Here is a 17,410-nt window from a genome sequence, read left to right as displayed (position 1 = left end):
CCGAGTAGCCTCAGCCTCCCGAGTAGCTGGGATTACGGGCATGCACCACCACACCCAGCTAATTTTTGTATTTTTCATAGAGACAGGGTTTCAGCATGTTGGCCAGAATGGTCTCAATCTCCTGACCTCCTGCTCCACCCACCTCGGCCTCCGAAAGTGCTGGGATTACAGGTGTGAGCCACCACGCCTGGCCCACAGTAACCTTTTAATTAAAACTAGCCATCGTCATCATCATCATCATCATCCTTATTGCTTTTGTTCAACAAGGTAGATCTTCAGATACTTACACATTTTGATCATTAATTTTAACACTACATTCTTAAGCTTTAAAAAATTAGCTTCTTTGTGCCATTTCTTTTTTACCTCTGAAATGGAGATATGCCTTTCTTTTTAGGGACTTATTTATCTTAAAACGAGCCATGGGCAATAACTGATGTTTGTAAATTTTTTCAAAGATGAATAGTATTAAAAGCTACATAACCACTACTGCTTTTAGTTTCCATCAAAGTATTAGGCATCATAAAAAGGGAAAGTACCATAAATTGATTCATCTACAAATTGGCTGTAATGATTGGTTTCCTGCTGCACATGCTTTCTTTTTATGGCCATTCTCTTGGATCACCTTATGGTATTTCCTGGTCCAACTAAGGGTTTAAGGTCATGGCTTAGAAAGATGTCATCTGTGAGATTTGCAACAAATAACCACACCTCAAGAATAAAGGATTTATAAGTGGAAGGAAATTATAATGCATCGTCAAAGCCAGATATTTTTAGGTAGAGACTTGTTTGTAATTTTACTGCATGGCTCAGCGTGCCAAATTTCTCAAGAATCTCAAGGAATGAAGGGAAATCTGTCAAGCTTGATCAATCAAGGCCAATTGACTGGCCTTCTTCTTCAATGTTCTTCAAAGCCATTGTAGCAAAAATATTTTTAAACATTTAGTATCACCTATAGTTTCATCATACTTTTTAATATTTTTAAATTCACCCAACATCTACTGAGTACTTATTGCCAAGAGCAAAGCCTCATTCCCGATGCTGTGGGGGACACTCTTATCTTTGTGGAGCTTACACTCTGCTGTCAAAGGGAAACATGGGAAAAATTATCAGACCTTGGGCAGTTAAAAAAAGTGCTATAAAAAATGTAGCTTCAAAATGCTGGGAACTATGTGGCAGAACCATTAATTTTAACTGAAAGAATCTAAAAAGGCTTTCGAGTAAAAGGTTACATTCAAGGGAAACCTTACAGGTGGAGAATTTTGAGGCAAAGCATTGTCTAGTAGTACTTTAGGTCATGAAAACAATGTAAATAAAGGTAAAAAGATGTGAAAGTAGGTGGTATGTATAATGAGCAGCAAGCAGTGCCTGGTGCCTAAGAGCAAGGGACTCCTGGATTACTGTGGGAGAATGGAAGGTAGTGAAGACTGGAAGCAGGTCATAGAGGGACTTTAAATCATATTATGGAGTTGAGCTTATTCGGTAGATGGTGGGAAGCTAGTGGACATTTTGGGGGAGAGGAGGAACTTTATCTGGTCCATGTTTATGGAAGATTACTAGCAAAGATTAGGGAGGTGAGAGGTTCTAAACAAGGAAACCAGTTATAACAACTAAGAACTCCAAGTTACTGAGATGCCAGGCATCAATATATTAATTATAATTATTATATTAATATTATTATATATTAATATATTAAATTAAAGCTGGATGTGGTGACTTACACCTGTAACCCCAGTGACTTGGGAGCTGAGGCAGGGGGAACATTTGAGGCCAGGAGTTTGAGACCAGCCTGGGTGATGTAGCCAGATCCTGTCTCCAAAAAAATTTAAAAAATTCTTTGGGCATAGTGACATGTGCCTGTAGTCCTAGCTACTTGGGAAGCTGAGGCGGGAGGCTTATTTTGAGCCCAGAAGGTCGAGGCTGCAGTGAGCTATGATCATGCCACTGCACTCCAGCCTGGGCAACATTCTGTCTTTTAACAATTTTTTTTAAATTTTAAAAAACAAATTTTTAAAAAGTTAATTATGTAAGTGCTTTGTATAATTTATTTACTTAATTTTTAGAAGTTACCTGGAGTGTAGGTGATATATTTATTTTAGAGTCATTAAGTCCCCAAGGTCATGGAGGTCATAGGTAGTGGAGTCCAGTGGTGTGGGATTGGAAATTCGGTGATGGAAAAAAATATCTGAATGTAGAGTTGCTACTACTCAGAGTGACTGAATGTGGGAGGTAAGAGAGGGAGAAATTGAAGATGACTCCAATCTGGGTACCGTTCAGCAAGAAAGGGAGCATAGTCAGATAAGTTTGGAATTAGTAAATAAAGAATTCTGCTTTAAAAGGTTGGATTTGCGATGTTGGCAAGACAACACAGGTGGAAATGTGGAGCTGGTTATCAGCAATGTGTGGTGGTGAACATGAGGTCAAGTGTGCAGGTGTGGCTAGGAGTAATCAGAACATCCATGTGACGGGAAGCCATGGGACAGGGTGTAGAACAAGGAGAAGCCTGAGAGAGAGGTAGAGTGTCCATCTGGGGATGGAGAGGGTAGCTGGAGAAGGAAGAATCAGGAAGGTTGGGGGAAACTGGAATGTGGAAGAATTGTGAACAAACAGCCAGGAGTGGAGAGAGCTTCAGAAATAATAGGTGGTAAATAGGGTCATTTATTGCACACCTGAGAGGGAATAAGTGGGGACAGAAAGAACTGCTTTATTTAGTAAGTAGAAGTTCATGGGTAATTTTTGAAAAACATTTCAGTGGAGTGAAATGATCAGGAAATGAATGTCAGGGGTTTAGGAATGAGAGGATGGTAAAGAAATCTGATGGACTACAAGGGATCAAAGGGACTTTTTATTAGGATAAAGGGAGTCCTAAGGAAGCTAAGGGAAAAGGGCAGTAGAGGGAGATTAAGAAAAAAATGGAGTGGAAGATAGTTTGTTGGCTATAGTACCAAAGCAAACTAGAAAGATGACCAGAACACAGAGTCTGGCAAAGGAAAGGGTTAAGGATTTTTTTTTCTTAATAGCAGAATAGAAACAAGAAATGAAATATGAATGGATATACCACGAAAAAGTGAAACCTAATGGTGAAAAGTTGAGAAAATTATTTTCTGGAAGTCTATCTCTCAGGGAAGGCTTACTGGCCTTCTGTAATATGTTTTACATTCCCAAAGAGCCTTGCGCTTTTCCTTCAAAATATTCATCATACTTATAATTACTTGTTCAGTATCTGGTTTCAGCACTAAATTGCCATCTACTCTTCCAAGACGGTCACCATGGCTGTCTGCTGAACCTCCAGCACATAGAAAGAACTGCATGCCTGGCCAATAGGAAATACTCAAAAGAGATTTGTTGTATAAGTACTTGACAGAGTCATAGATTCTCTCTCTTTCTCTCTCTCTCTCTTTCTCTGTCTCTCTCCCTCCCTCTGCAGTGTGGAAAAATGCCAGACACAATAGACTTGACGAATACTTGCTAAATGAATGAATCTTCTCAGTGAAATAGGAAGTAGTCTCATCTACTGAGATGATAGTAACTATATTTTGAGTTCTCACAGTGTGCTAGGCACCCTGTTAAGTGCTTACATGCTAGATGTTGTAACAGGTAAGCCACAGTATTTCAGTGGTTTACATAATAAAAGTGTATTTCTTCCTCACTGACACTATGAAAGGGCTGCTGGCAGCTCCTCTTTCAGAGATATAGACACCTTATTCCAGCTGCACCATCTCTTGCACCCTCAGCTGCAAATGGGGGCAGAGGATGAGAATGAGGCACATGGCCCCATATGGGCTAGGAAGCCACTTCCTAGGGATGGCTCTATATTACAGAAACGAGAACATGAATTGGTGGACACCTAGCCATTACTTTCACATGAGAGTTATTTACTATTTATAATACCTCTAAAGGAGGTACTATTATTATCCTCATCTTACAGATAAATCTACCAAGGCTTAGACCTGTCCACAAATAATAAGGTTCAGATTTGAGATTTAAAGTCACGTTTGGGTCCATCTGACTCAGTAGCTTCTGTTCTTACCTGTTAGACCTGTGGTTCTCAAGTGATGGTGATTTTGCCCCCATGGAACATTTGGCAGTGCCTGCAGACATTTTTCAAGGTTGGGGGAGGGGTACTGACATCTGTTTGGTAGAGGCCAGGGATGCTACTAAATATCCTACAATGCATAAGACACCCCCAACCCCAGCCAACCCCAACAAAAACGTATCCAGCTCAAAATGTCAATAGTGTCAAAGTTAAGAAACTCTGGACTAGACTGTACACCACCCATGATGGATGAGAGTGGAGGCAAAACATGATTGAAAAGATTAAGAACAGCTGCTGTGAGGGATGAGCTAAGTGTTACTTATGAAAAGATATAAAGGATTGGCGAAGAGCAGAGAGGTGCTGGTGGTTGTTGAATAGGGAAGAAGGTAAGTGGTCCTACTAATTTTCTATCAGCTACTTGGCATTTCAGGGACTTGTTAGTATTTTTAAAGAAGTAAATGATACATACTTTACAGGATGAATATATTATCCTTGAATTCATTTTATTTCTGAACTCAGGGAGACAAGAGTCGTCCTTTTATTACGTCCAGTCCTACAAATGGGGCTGAAACTGTTGCAGAAGCCTGGGTCTCTCAAAACCCTAATAGCAATTATTTTGGTGATGTACATTTTTATGACTATATCAGTGATTGCTGGAACTGGAAAGTTTTCCCAAAAGCTCGATTTGCATCTGAATATGGATATCAGTCCTGGCCGTCCTTCAGTACATTAGAAAAGGTAAGTCATCGTTTGATTTTCTAATGTTTCAGAATGATAGACTGTGGGCATGTGTTTATTCTGATCACTGGTTCAGAAAATCATATGAAACCTACGTCTTATTTAAATGAAAGTTTGAGAAGAAGATGGAGGAAAATAATTTTTTTAAACCTTTGGGGATTACTTTTCTATATTGCTTTTACTGTGTTCCTTCAGGAGCACCGAAAGCACTGAATGGGACCCAGTGGTTGCTTAAGCCTGACTTATTATCACACACGGAAATAACTCTTACTTGCTACAATAACTCTTGCTTGTAAATCATATCCTGCAACTGTTTTACCGTTTACAGATATTCAGAGCTGGATATTTCACTACAGGAAGAGGGTAAATGTGATAAATAAACCTTAGTCTAATGTTGTCATCTTACCTTTTCTCTCCTCTTTCTCCTCCTATTCCATTACCACCGCCCACCCCCCCCCCACCCCACTCCTCTCTCTCCCTCTTTTTCATCATGTTGGTGTGTTTTATTTTCTGTATGGATTTTCACTCTCTCTGTTCCTAAAGATTCCGTTTCAGCATTGTGTGTGTTCTTCTTAAAATAGCTTTATTGAGATATAATTCACTTGCCATACAATGCACCCATTTAATGTGTACAATTTAATAGTCTTCAATATATTCACAGAGATGTGCAGCCAGCACCACAATTTAATTTTAGAACATTTTTATCACTCAAAAGAAACCCTGAACCCATTAGCAACCACTCCCTATTTTTCCCTATCCCTCCTCCCCAGTTTTAGGCACTACGAATCTACTTTCTGTGTCTATAGTTTCCTTATTCTTCATATTTCATATAATTGGAATAATATAATGTGTGGTCTTTTGAGACTGATTCTTTGACTGTGTTTTCAGGGTTCATCCATGTTGACCATGTATTAGTATGTTCCTTTTTTTTATTGCTGAATAACATTCTGTTGCATGGATATACACTACGTTTTGTTTATCTATTTATCAGTTGATGGACATTTGTGTTGTTTCCTCTGTTTGGCTATTATGAATAATGCTGCTGGGAACATTTGTGTACATGTTTTGTGTGAATACATGTTTTCAATTCTACTGAATATATATATCTAGGAGTGGAATTGCTGGGTCATATGGTAGCTCTATCTTTAACATTCTAAGGAAATGTCAAATTGTTTTCTGTAGTGATTGCACCATTTTGCATTTCTACCAGCAAGGGATTAGGGTTCCAATTTTTCTACATCCTTGCCAACACTTGTTATTTTCTTTTTTTCTTCACATTTCCCTGGGAATTTACATTTACAGGAAATTTGCATATCCTTGATGGCTAATCATGTTGAGCATTTTTTTTTCACGTGCTTACTGGCCATTTGTATATCTTCCTTTGAGAAATGTCTGTTCAAATCCTTTAGCCATTTTGTTTTTTAAATAGAGACAGGGTCTTGCTTTGTTGCCCAGGCTGGTGTGCAGTGGAGTGGTCACGGCTCACTGCAGATTTGACCTCTCAGGCTGAAGCAATCCTCCTGCCTCAGCATCCCCAAGAAGCTGGGACTACAAGTGTGTGCCACCACACCCAGCTAATTTTTGTATTTTTTATAGAGACGGAGTTTCACCAAATCATCCAGGCTGGTCTGGAACTCCTGAGCTCAAGTGATCTTCCTACCTCGGGCTCCCAAAGTGCTGGGCTTACAGGTGTGAGCCACTATGCATGGCCTGATCATTTTAAAATTATTTGTCTTTATTTTATTGAATTATGAAAATTAAAAAAATATATTCTGGCTATAAGATTTTATCAGGTATATGATTTGCAAATATTTTCTCCCAGTCTGTGGGTTGTCACCTTATTCACTTTGATGGTATCACTTACAGCACAAAAAATTTAAATTTTGATGAAGTTTTACTTACCAATCTGTTCTTTTTGGTGTTGCATCTGAGAAATCATTGCCTCACCCCAAATGGCAAAGGTTTATTTCTGTGTTGTCTTCTAAGAATTTTATAGTTTTAGCTCTTGCATTCAAGTCTATGATCATTTTGGGTTATTTTTTATGTATGGTAGAAGGTAGGAGTTCAGGTTCATTCTTCTGCATGTGTATAGCCAGTTGTTCCAATAGCATGTATTAAAAACACTATTCTTTCCCCCATTAAATTCTTTTGGCCCTGAAAATCAATTGACCATAAAAGTTAGGGTTTATTTCTGAATTCTCAATTCTGTTCCAGTGGCATATTTCATGTCACTATGCACTGTCTTGATTACTATAGCTTTGTAGTAAGTTTTGACATTAGGAAGTGTGAGTCCACCAATTTTGTTCTTTTTTTCAAGATTTCTTTTTACTATCCTGGGTGGCTTGCATTTCCAAATGAGTCTTGGGATCTATTTGCCAATTTCTGCAGAAAAGCTAGCTGGGATTTTGATAGAGATTATGTTGAATCTGTTGATCAGTTTGTGAGTATTGCCATCTAGTAATATTAAATCTTCTGATGCATGAACATGGGATGTCTTCTTTAATTTCTTTCAACACTGTAGTTTTCAGTGTACCAGTCTTACGCTTCTTTGGTTTACTTTTTCCTAAGTGTTTTATTCTTCCTGACGCTATTGTAAATAAATTATTTTCTTAATTTCATTTTTAGGTTGTTCATTGCTAACGTATAAAAATACAGATGATTTTTGTATATTGCGCTTGAATCCTACAAAGTGGCTGATCTCATTTATTAGCTCTAATAATATTTTGGAGGATATTCTTTAGCATTTTCTATATATAAGATCATGTCATCTATAAATAGAGATATTAATAATATTGCTTCTTCCTTTCCAATCTGGAAGCCTTTTATTTCATTTTCTTAATTTCCCTGGCTAGAACTTTTCATACAATGTAGAAAATGAGTGGGAAGACGAGATATCCTTGAGTTGTTCTTTTTCTTAGGGAGTACATTTCAATGATTTACCATTTAGTGTTATATTGACAATAGGTTTTTAGTAGATGTCCTTTATAAGGTCAAGGAAGGTCCCTTTTATTTCTAGTTAGCTGAGTGCTTATATCATGAAAGAATGTTGCATTTTTCAAGTGCTTTTTCTTCATCTATTGAAATGATTATGTGATTTTGCTCCCCCTGCATCAGTTGTATAAAGTAACCAAAAAAAGTCTTTTAAGACAATTTCAAAATCTTTTTCAATTTCGCTACCTGAACACAACTATAATTTGCTTATACACATTGAAGTTATATTGTACTTTTAACTTTAATGATGTCATAACCTTAGCTCTACCTTTGGTTTTTTAAAATTAAAAAATTAATTAACGAAAAATTGTATATACTTATCGTGTACTACGTGATGTTTTGAAACATATATACATTGTGAAATTCCATACCCCGTTTTTTAATTGCTCCCAAATTGTGGGGCTAATCTTTTGGGAATACTGTTGTTTCAGAGTGAAGGAGGATGAAGTTCAGTATCCTGACGCAGGTAGGAACAAGTGTTGAGAATGGGAAGGAAGGAATGAAGGAAGCAAGAATATTTACTGAATAATTGCTGTGTACCACGTACTCATTCTTTAATTCGACAATAATCTACCCACTCCACTTTGAGACCCAGGGGGAAATCAAAGTACTGCAAGAGGTCACAGATAGATCTCCCACCCTGCAGTGCTTTGATTTCCTTTTGGGCCTCAGGCAAAGTGGAGTGGGTAGAGTATTGTCTAATAAAAGAGTGAGGACCTGGCACACAAGCAATAATTCAGTAAATATTCTTGCTTCCTTCATTCCTTCCTTCCCATTCTCGACAATAAGTAGCTGGGTTCAGACTTACTCTCTGTCTCCAGAGCTGATAGATTTTCTTTTCACCACGCTTTAGAAAGATTAGTGTTAGAAATTGCTAAACCTTTTCCTTAAATCTATAATAATTTCTACTGGCCTCCTTCAAATAATGGAATTATTTTTATCCCATATTTTTGTGAAATGCCTGATGATGTTCAGAGATAATAAACACTATATTTTAAAATAGAAAAAGTTGAGGATAAGTGCTGCTCATTATGAATCATTTGTTATCTCTTGATTTACTCATCTTTTTTTAAGCTACACTGCTTAGTTGAGAATTTGAATAGGTGATTGGGAAAATAAAATAAACCAAAAGAAAAACTAAATAAAACTTTGGCTCTTTTATTTAGAAGCTCTTTCATGTATTCAACAACTTGATTAAAACATATCTCTTTAATTTGGGATACATTGATTTTTCATAAAATATAATTTTAACATGTGATTATCAATATTGCACGGTGATTAAAAGTTTGGGCTTTGGAATAAACAGAACTGGATTGAATATGACAGCTGCCATTCATTATCTGTATCATCTTGGACAGATTATTTAATCTTTCTGAATTTCAGTTTCCTCATCTGTAAATTGGGGTTAATGGTAGTAAATACCTTGTGTGTGTGTGTGTGTGTGTGTGTGTGTGTGTGTGTGTGTGTGTGCATGTAGATCTGCATATGCGCGTGTGTTTATGAGTAAAGATTAAGTTAACTAATACATTGAAGCACTCAGCACTCTACCTGACACAGTGAGAGCCCATGAAATGTAAACTATTTACCTTTAGTATAGACCATTTTAACCATATGATTTGTATGACAGTTCGATTTTCTTCAGATCCTTCTGGGTTTAATGAACTAGGGACTGGAGCTAGACTGCATTAGATTTGGATACTGAAGAAGTTATCTAACCTTTCTGTGCCTGGTTTTCACATCTGTAAAATGGGGTGATAATAGTACCTACTCATAGAGCTTGTTTTGTTTTTTGTTTTGAGAGAGGGTCTAGCTGTGTCACCCAGGCTGGAGTGCAGTGGCGTGATCACAACTCACTGCAGCCTCAAACTCGTGGGCTCAAGCAATCATCCCACTTTAGCCTCCCAAGTAGCTGGGACTACAGGCATGTGCCACCACACCAGGCTGATTTTTTATTTTTCTTTTTGTAGAGATGGGGTCTCACTACGTTGTCCAGGCTGGTCTTGAACTCCTGGGCTCAAGCAATCCTCCCACCTCAGCCTCCCAAAGTGCTGGGATTACAGGTGTGAAACACTGCATCCGGCCGGGTTTTTATGAGTACCAAATAAGTTAATATTCTTTTTTTAAAAAAAGTTAATATTCTTAAAGTAATTAGAACTTTGCCTGGCCATTTCCAGTTCTTTCTGGTAATATTATTATAGCTGAAATTTGAAAGATTTTCACACCATAGTTATGAGAAGGTAGAAAGCCTCCCACGTAACTAAAGATCAGGTTTACTGATTATGGGATAGATTCAAATTATTACAAATAAGAAGGCTGCATGGCCCAAAGGTATATTTCAGACTTTGAAAAGGAGGAAGGACACTCCAATGTGAAAGCTAAAAAAGTTCAGCTCAAAGAAGTAGAGTGGAATAATGATTACTAGAGGGTGGAAGGGTTGCCAGGGAGGGACAATAGAGTTGGTTAATTGATACAAAAGTATAGCTAGATGGGAAGAATAAGTTCTGGTGTTCTATAGCACTTTGGGGTAACTATAGTTAATAATAATTTATTGTATATTTTCAAATAGCTAGAAGAGATAATTTTGAGTGTTCCCGACACAAAGAAATGATAAATGTTTGAGGTGATGAATTTGCTTATTAGCCTGATTTGATCCTTATACATTGTATACATGTATCAAATTATAACATGGTACCCCATAAATGTGTACACTTATTGTGTCAATTAAAAATAATAAACATAAATAAAATAAATTAAGAGGAGGAAGCGTAGGAAGACTATTGATAAAGGATGTGTGTCTAAAAAGTGTGCGAGATGATTGTCAATGTGAATCTCTCCTTTAAATACATAATAGGAGTAGTTAGCATTATTTAATTCTGGTGGTGGCATTTTGGAAAAACATCTGTAATTAGGAAAAACTTCCAAATTTAATATGGCTAGTGTACATTTCTTATATTTGGGTATGAATCAGTTCCTGAAGGATAACCTTTTCCTTTTAAGGTAATGGGCCCATGTGTTGCTTGATTACTGGGAATGAAAAGTCATACTTTATGAACAGGGATTAAGCTTTTTTAATTTTCAGGTTTTTGGGTGGAGGGGCAGAGTATGTTTTTTCAAAGTCTGTGTAACTTGAATTAAAACTCTGGATATTTTCAGATGTAGCCAGCAATTGTCTTCTTTCTTAAATGCTAACAGTGCATTAAATTATAGGCCTAGAAGCCAGAATTATTGCTTTTTTCTCTTTTTTTGTAGAAGGTATACTCCAACATATGTGAGTTTTTTTTACTTTGTTTTTTAATTTGAGCTGACGACAAAAGAAAGATCCTGTAAGTTAGGGGATAAAATAAAGATCCTATAATTTGGGCCTGGCTTAAACCATAAAAAATTGATTTTTTAGGGGAGAGAAGTAACATTATTTGGTTTGTGTCTTCAACTATATAAAAATTAAACATATGTATATCAGTTTCATTTAGTAATCACTGAGAAACAAGTGAACAGTGTAAGTGCTAAAGCATCTACTCTCATAGTATCCCTATTATAGTGTAATAGGTGTTTTATTCCTATTTAAGAATTGTGACAGTTTTAACAGTGTTGATTGCATTCTATTAAGTTTTGACAAACGAATACTAGATAAAATGTTTACCTAAGTAGATAAAATGATATTTAAAAATACATATAGTGGATGTTTCAAAAACCAGGAATATGTTTTGATAAAACAAGAGTCTTAAGAGAAACATCAAAATATAACTTTCTTAGTTGGAGGAAGGGAGGATATATGTACCAAACCCTGGTTTTGTGATTCCAGTTTCCACAAGGCTAGTCCTTCACTGGCAACAAGTAGGATGGTAAAACATTTATGAAACTGGAGCCACAGAACAAACCTCAAGGTCTTCTCTAGTGTTTAGGATACTTTCCAGGTTTGTCAGGAACTTATAGAAAAGTAGTTTTACTGCCAACTTTCAGATTTCTAATTCTTATTCTTTATTTGAAAGGTCTCGTCTACAGAGGACTGGTCTTTCAATAGCAAGTTTTCACTTCATCGACAACATCACGAAGGTGGTAACAAACAAATGCTTTATCAGGCTGGACTTCATTTCAAACTCCCCCAAAGCACAGATCCATTACGCACATTTAAAGATACCATCTACCTTACTCAGGTAAGTTGTTTTCATTCTAGAATTGAACAGGTTCCTGCAATTAATGTAAGAGATTATGTAGATTTTGTAGGCCATATATGGTGAAAAATATTCAGGTTTTCATTCCACTGGTTAAGGAATTTATTTTCTTCAAAGAACATATATGATGACACATAGGACATGAAATAGTTCATTTTTGGCATTTGCCTCTCTTACAAAAACAGCTCACAAAATTCTGAAATAAATTGTGTATGAAAATATTCTCTACTTCAAGATTGCTCTAAAGGTTTAGTAATTAAGACAGTGCCATTTCCCAAGGATAAAATAGAACAATGGAACACAATAGAGTCCAGAAACAGATCACTGTATAATATGGACACCTGATTTATGGCTGTGATGCCACCACAATTGAGTATGAGAACAATCATTTTATCAATAAACAGTGGTGAATCACGTGGATACCTTTATGGGAAAAGAAATGAACTTGACTCCATATACAAGTTAATTTGATTGTTGAGCATGGTGGCACACACCTGTAGTCCCAACTACTTGGGAGGCTGAGGTGGGAGGATTGATTGAGCCTAGGAGTTTGAGACCAGCCTGGGCAAAATGTCAAGAACCCTATCTCTAAAAAATAATAATAAATTTTAGAAACTTCATTTGACCAATGACTGAAGACTCAAATGTGAAAGGTACTACAATAAAGCTTCGAGAAAACATGGAATAGCTTCATGATTTTGGGATAGGTGAGAGTTTTTATATAGAACATAAAAAGCACTAACTAGAAAAGAAAGTATTGATAAATTATACTCCATTGAAATTATGGACACCATTAAGTATAAAAAACACCATTAAGAGAGAGAAAAGGCAAGCCACAAATTGGGGACCAATAGTTTTAATTCATATATTTGATAAAAAGATTTGTATCCAGAATAAAGCAATAAGAAAAAGTCAGACAATCTATTTAAAAATGGACAAAAATCTTGAACTGGAGCTTCACTAAAGAAGATATCCAAAGCGTCAATAAATATCTGAAAATGTGCCCAATCTTGTTGTAAATCAAGAACATGCAAATTAAAGCCATACCAGTATACCCCTACACACCCAGCAGAATGGCTAAAATTAAAAAGATTGATAATAACAACTGCTGGTGAGGAAGCGAGACAGCTGGAAATTTTAGACATTGTTAGTAGGAGTTTAAATTTGTTTAACCACTTTGGAAAATTTTATGGCAGTTTCTACCTAAGCTAAATGTTTGCTTCCCTTTTGAATCAGCATTTCTGCTCCTAGCTATGCACTAGGAAAAATGAGTTCATATGTCCACCAATGGATATCTCAAATAATGTTCATAGCAGCATTATTCACAATAGCCCCAAAGTAGAAACAACCTAAATGTCTTTTAACAGGAGAATTTATAAACAAATTGTAGTATATTCATACAGTGGAATACTCCACAGCAATAAAAAAAGAATAAACTACTGATAATCAGCATCAGCTTGGATGAGTCTTGCAGGTATTACATTGAGTAAAAGAAACCAGACATAAAAGGATACATAACTGTACTGATTTCTTCTATATTGAAATTTAAGTATATTATAGAAAAAAGTACATATTAGAAAAAAAAACAATCAAGATGATAGAGAGCAAAGTAGTATTAACTACACTTGTGGAGGAGGGTGTGAGCAATGATTAGGAAGGGGTACAAGAGAACTTTCTGTTTTCTATCTTGATCTGAGTGGTAGTCACATGGATGTGTGCATGTATCAAAAGATTTGTGAATGTTATGGCATGCACCTTGCTGGATTTTAAAAACAGTTCTATCAAGTTTTGATGGACATATCATAAAATTCACACATCTTAAGGGTACAGTTAAGTGATATTTATAGAGTGGTGCAACCATCACTATGATCCAATTTTAGAATATTTCTGTCATTCTAAAAAGATCCCTTGTACCCATTTACAGTCACTCCCCTTTCCCACCTCCAGCTGCAAGACAACATAAATCTATTTTCTGTCTCTATAGATTTTACTTTTCTCAACATTTTATATAAATGGAATTATACAATATGTGATCTTTTGCATCTGGCTTCTTTCACCTAGCATAAAGTTTTTGAAGATCATCCATGTTATAGCATGTATAGTTCATGTCCTTTTTCTTGCCAAATACTATTCAGTTTTATGGTTATACACATTTTGCTTATCCATTCGTCAGGTTCATCTGTTGCTGGACATTTGTTATATCGTATTCCAATTTTTGGCTATTATGAATAATGCTGTTAGGAATACTCATATACAAATCTTCGTATGGACATAGATTTCCTTTTCAAAGGGTAGAAATGGAATTTCTGAGTTATATAACAAATTTATGTATTTTTTTTAAGAAACTGCCAAACTGAATTTTGGATAATGGTTTCATTTTACTTTTTTCATTTGCCTATTTTAGTTCATGAACCTGTGACCACACTTAAGACTCCATTAAAGTCGCTGTTTATTTACCTGCTAGTTTTGCCATACTTGTTTAAAGTTCTTAGAGAGGAGGTAAAAGCCTAATCCCAATAATAAAGTTGATCTGAAGTAGACAGGAAATTTTTAAAAACATAATCACAGTTAAATTTTCCTATCTTAGTATCTAAAAATGTATGAATTTTAATCCAAACTCATGCTCACACCTTCATCAGTTTTCTCCTGTATGAAAACACAAACCCCATGATAGAAACTAAAGCAGAAAACTGTAAGCTGAAAGAATAATCTTTTTTAGAAGGTGATGAAATGATTAGGAGAATTTTAATGTTTCAATCATAATCTTATAGGTTAGGAAAGTTTTGCCAGGGTTATATGTAATTCATGAACTTACCAGAACACAAGGTTAAAGGCAATGTTGGTATCTGTCCCTTGAAAAGTGTTGCACTTTATCTTTCAAGTTTTCCACAGATAATACTCTGTTAAAGTGTTCTGACATATAAAATAGGCTGATTATTATTTGTGTGTGTGTGTGTATAAGAGACTTTTCTGCTATTGTTTTTTATGCTGGATTTCCTCCTTCCAGCTGTTTATTACTCTAACTTTATTCTTTTCCTCAAAATTATATTCCAAGAACTGATAGAAATAATTTTTCTTTTCTGAACTTATCAGCATTCAAGGTCCATAGTTAGGAACTGGGCATGCAAGTGGAGTTATTTGTTGCCAGTTTTTGTTGGTGATGGTTTTGTCTGAGAATTTAGCACTAGTGTCCTCTCAGGCTTTGGCTCAGAATTGGACTTGTCCTCGTGTGGCTTGTTAGTGTCTACCTTGGCACTTTCCAACATACTAGATGCTATCTGTGATGAAAGAAATCAGGATTATGATTATTTTATTTTGTTTTCAGTGTCAGATTTTCTTGACTGAAATACAGACAGGAAATGTTAGGGTTTTAGGGTTTTTCCTTGTTACTTTGATTTTAGAACAGTCCTCTTTAATCTGTGTATTAGAAATAAAACCCTTCTCTGTTCCACTTTCTATGTTCCTACTCCAACCCCTGTTCTTTTTCTCATAGTCTGTCATACTGTTCTGAAGAACAGAGTGCTTGCCTATGTGCCACTTTTTAGAAGATTTATTAATTAAGGAATATTTGCAACTGTTAGCAAAGTCTTCGCTGAGAAAACTGTCCAGTAAATTTCTTCACGTTTGGATCCTTCCCTATCTTCTCTTTGTCTTATAGCCAAAAAGATATCCCTATGGGCTCCTGCCTCTTTAATTCTCCTAGTATTCCAGGATAATCTTGCCTTACCTTTTACTCTCCCTCTTGCCCTGTTATATTGTATTCCCAATAGCCCATATACATGAGCACACCCTCTTTAGCTATGTTACACAGATCTCACTCTCTAGTTTGAGGACCAACTATCTAAATGAACATATCTAAACTAACTTTTGAGTGTCTTACTCTACCAGCACGGCCTCTTATTGGCCACTAAGAGAGCAGGCCAGGCCAAGGACATTAATTACCAAGCCCTTAGCTTACAGCCTTTTCTAGTGCTTTTGTTTATTCTTCATGTGTCTATTGAATATCTAATGATGGCTTGGGGATGTTCTTGAGAAACTCATTTTCTTTAGAGGCCCATTTTATCTTCCTGTGCTGTAAGTAACTTGATCATAAGAACTAGGACAAAAGGTAGGTGATGCTGTAGGCCCAGGTTTTGATGATACCTGCTGCCCTGGAATGGTTATTTGTTTGGTAAGTAGCACTGAGACACGATGGAAGATCCAGGTCATACTGAGCTTTTAAGATGAGAGTAGGGTGGGCAAAGGAGGGGAATGAAAGAGTGACCATTAACATTGTGTATTATATATTAGGAGTTTGTATAGGCATCATGTAATTTAATAATCAAGCCAATATGTAGCATTCTTTGGGTATCTACTAAATGCCTGCCTGGTCCTGGGTCATGAACTGCTTTGTAAATCTTATCATTTAATTCTCACATTATCTCCAGACACCCATATCACTCTTTCCATTTCATACATGAGGAAACAGAGTCTCAGAAAAGTTAAATATTTTGCCTAAGGACTCAGGGCAATGAATGGAGTAGGGTTTCTGCTTTTTAAACTGTAATATTCTATCCCTTCACAGTTGCAATAATGGTGTTTGGTTAAATTGTTAACAGTAATTTTCAGCAATTAAGTAAAGTGGGCATCAGAAATTTGGCACATTAAATAAAGACCTCATTAGAACACTGGAGAAAACCAGTGAAGCCAAAAGTTAGTTCTTTGAATAGATCAACAAAATTGACAAACCTTTAGTTAGACTGGCCCAGAAAAAAGAGAGGACACTTGAATTACTAAGTCAGGAATGAAAGAGGAAATATTACTACTCACCTTACCAAAATAAATAAGGTGATAAGAGAATATATACACAATTATATGGCAACAAGTCAGTTAATTTAGATGAAATGGATGAATTCCTAGAGAAACAACCCATGAAAACTGAATTAAGAAGAAATAGAAAATCTTAATAGCCCTATAACAACTAAGGAGATTGAGTTAGTTAAAAAACAAAAACAAACAAAAAAACCTTCCCGTAAAAAGAAAAATCCAGGACCAGATGGCTTCACTAGTGAATTCTAAGAATGTTTAAAGAAGAATTAAAAGAAACCCCTCATTAACTCCCTAAAAAATTAGTAATAAGAGGAGGAAACACTTAACTCATTCTGTGAAGCCAACATTACTGTGATACCAAAACCAGACAAACATATCTCATGAAAAGCAACCTACAGACTCATATCATTTGTGAATGTAGACAGAAAAAAATCCTCAATAAAATGGTATCAATCCAAATCCAGCAGCATATACAAAGGATTATATAGCATAACTATGTGGGAAATATCCCAGGAATGCAAGATTGATTCGATATATGAAAGTTAATCAGTATAATAAACCATATTAGTAAAGAAAGAAAAAATACACATGATCATCTCAATAAATGAAGAAAAAGCATTTGACAAATCTTATACTGTTGAAAAAAAGATTTTAAAACTTACTTCAA

At 35.9% G+C, this 17,410-nt stretch overlaps 1 protein-coding gene across 4 annotated transcripts in view; it reads left to right on the top strand.

The window, feature by feature from the left end:
• Nucleotides 1–17,410, top strand: part of MANBA (mannosidase beta) — a 130,199-nt gene that overhangs the window by 98,516 nt on the left and 14,273 nt on the right. For all 4 annotated transcript variants that reach the window (NM_005908.4, XM_047415692.1, XM_047415693.1 and 1 more), the window contains 2 exons: nt 4,553–4,771; nt 11,752–11,916. In NM_005908.4, the coding sequence (NP_005899.3) occupies nt 4,553–4,771; nt 11,752–11,916 (384 nt within the window). The remainder of the gene's footprint in view (nt 1–4,552; nt 4,772–11,751; nt 11,917–17,410) is intronic.

This window comes from Homo sapiens, chromosome 4, assembly GCF_000001405.40.
Source record: "Homo sapiens chromosome 4, GRCh38.p14 Primary Assembly".
In the NCBI taxonomy this organism is placed as follows: Eukaryota; Metazoa; Chordata; class Mammalia; order Primates; family Hominidae; genus Homo; species Homo sapiens.
This window is presented reverse-complemented; position numbering and strand designations above follow the sequence as displayed.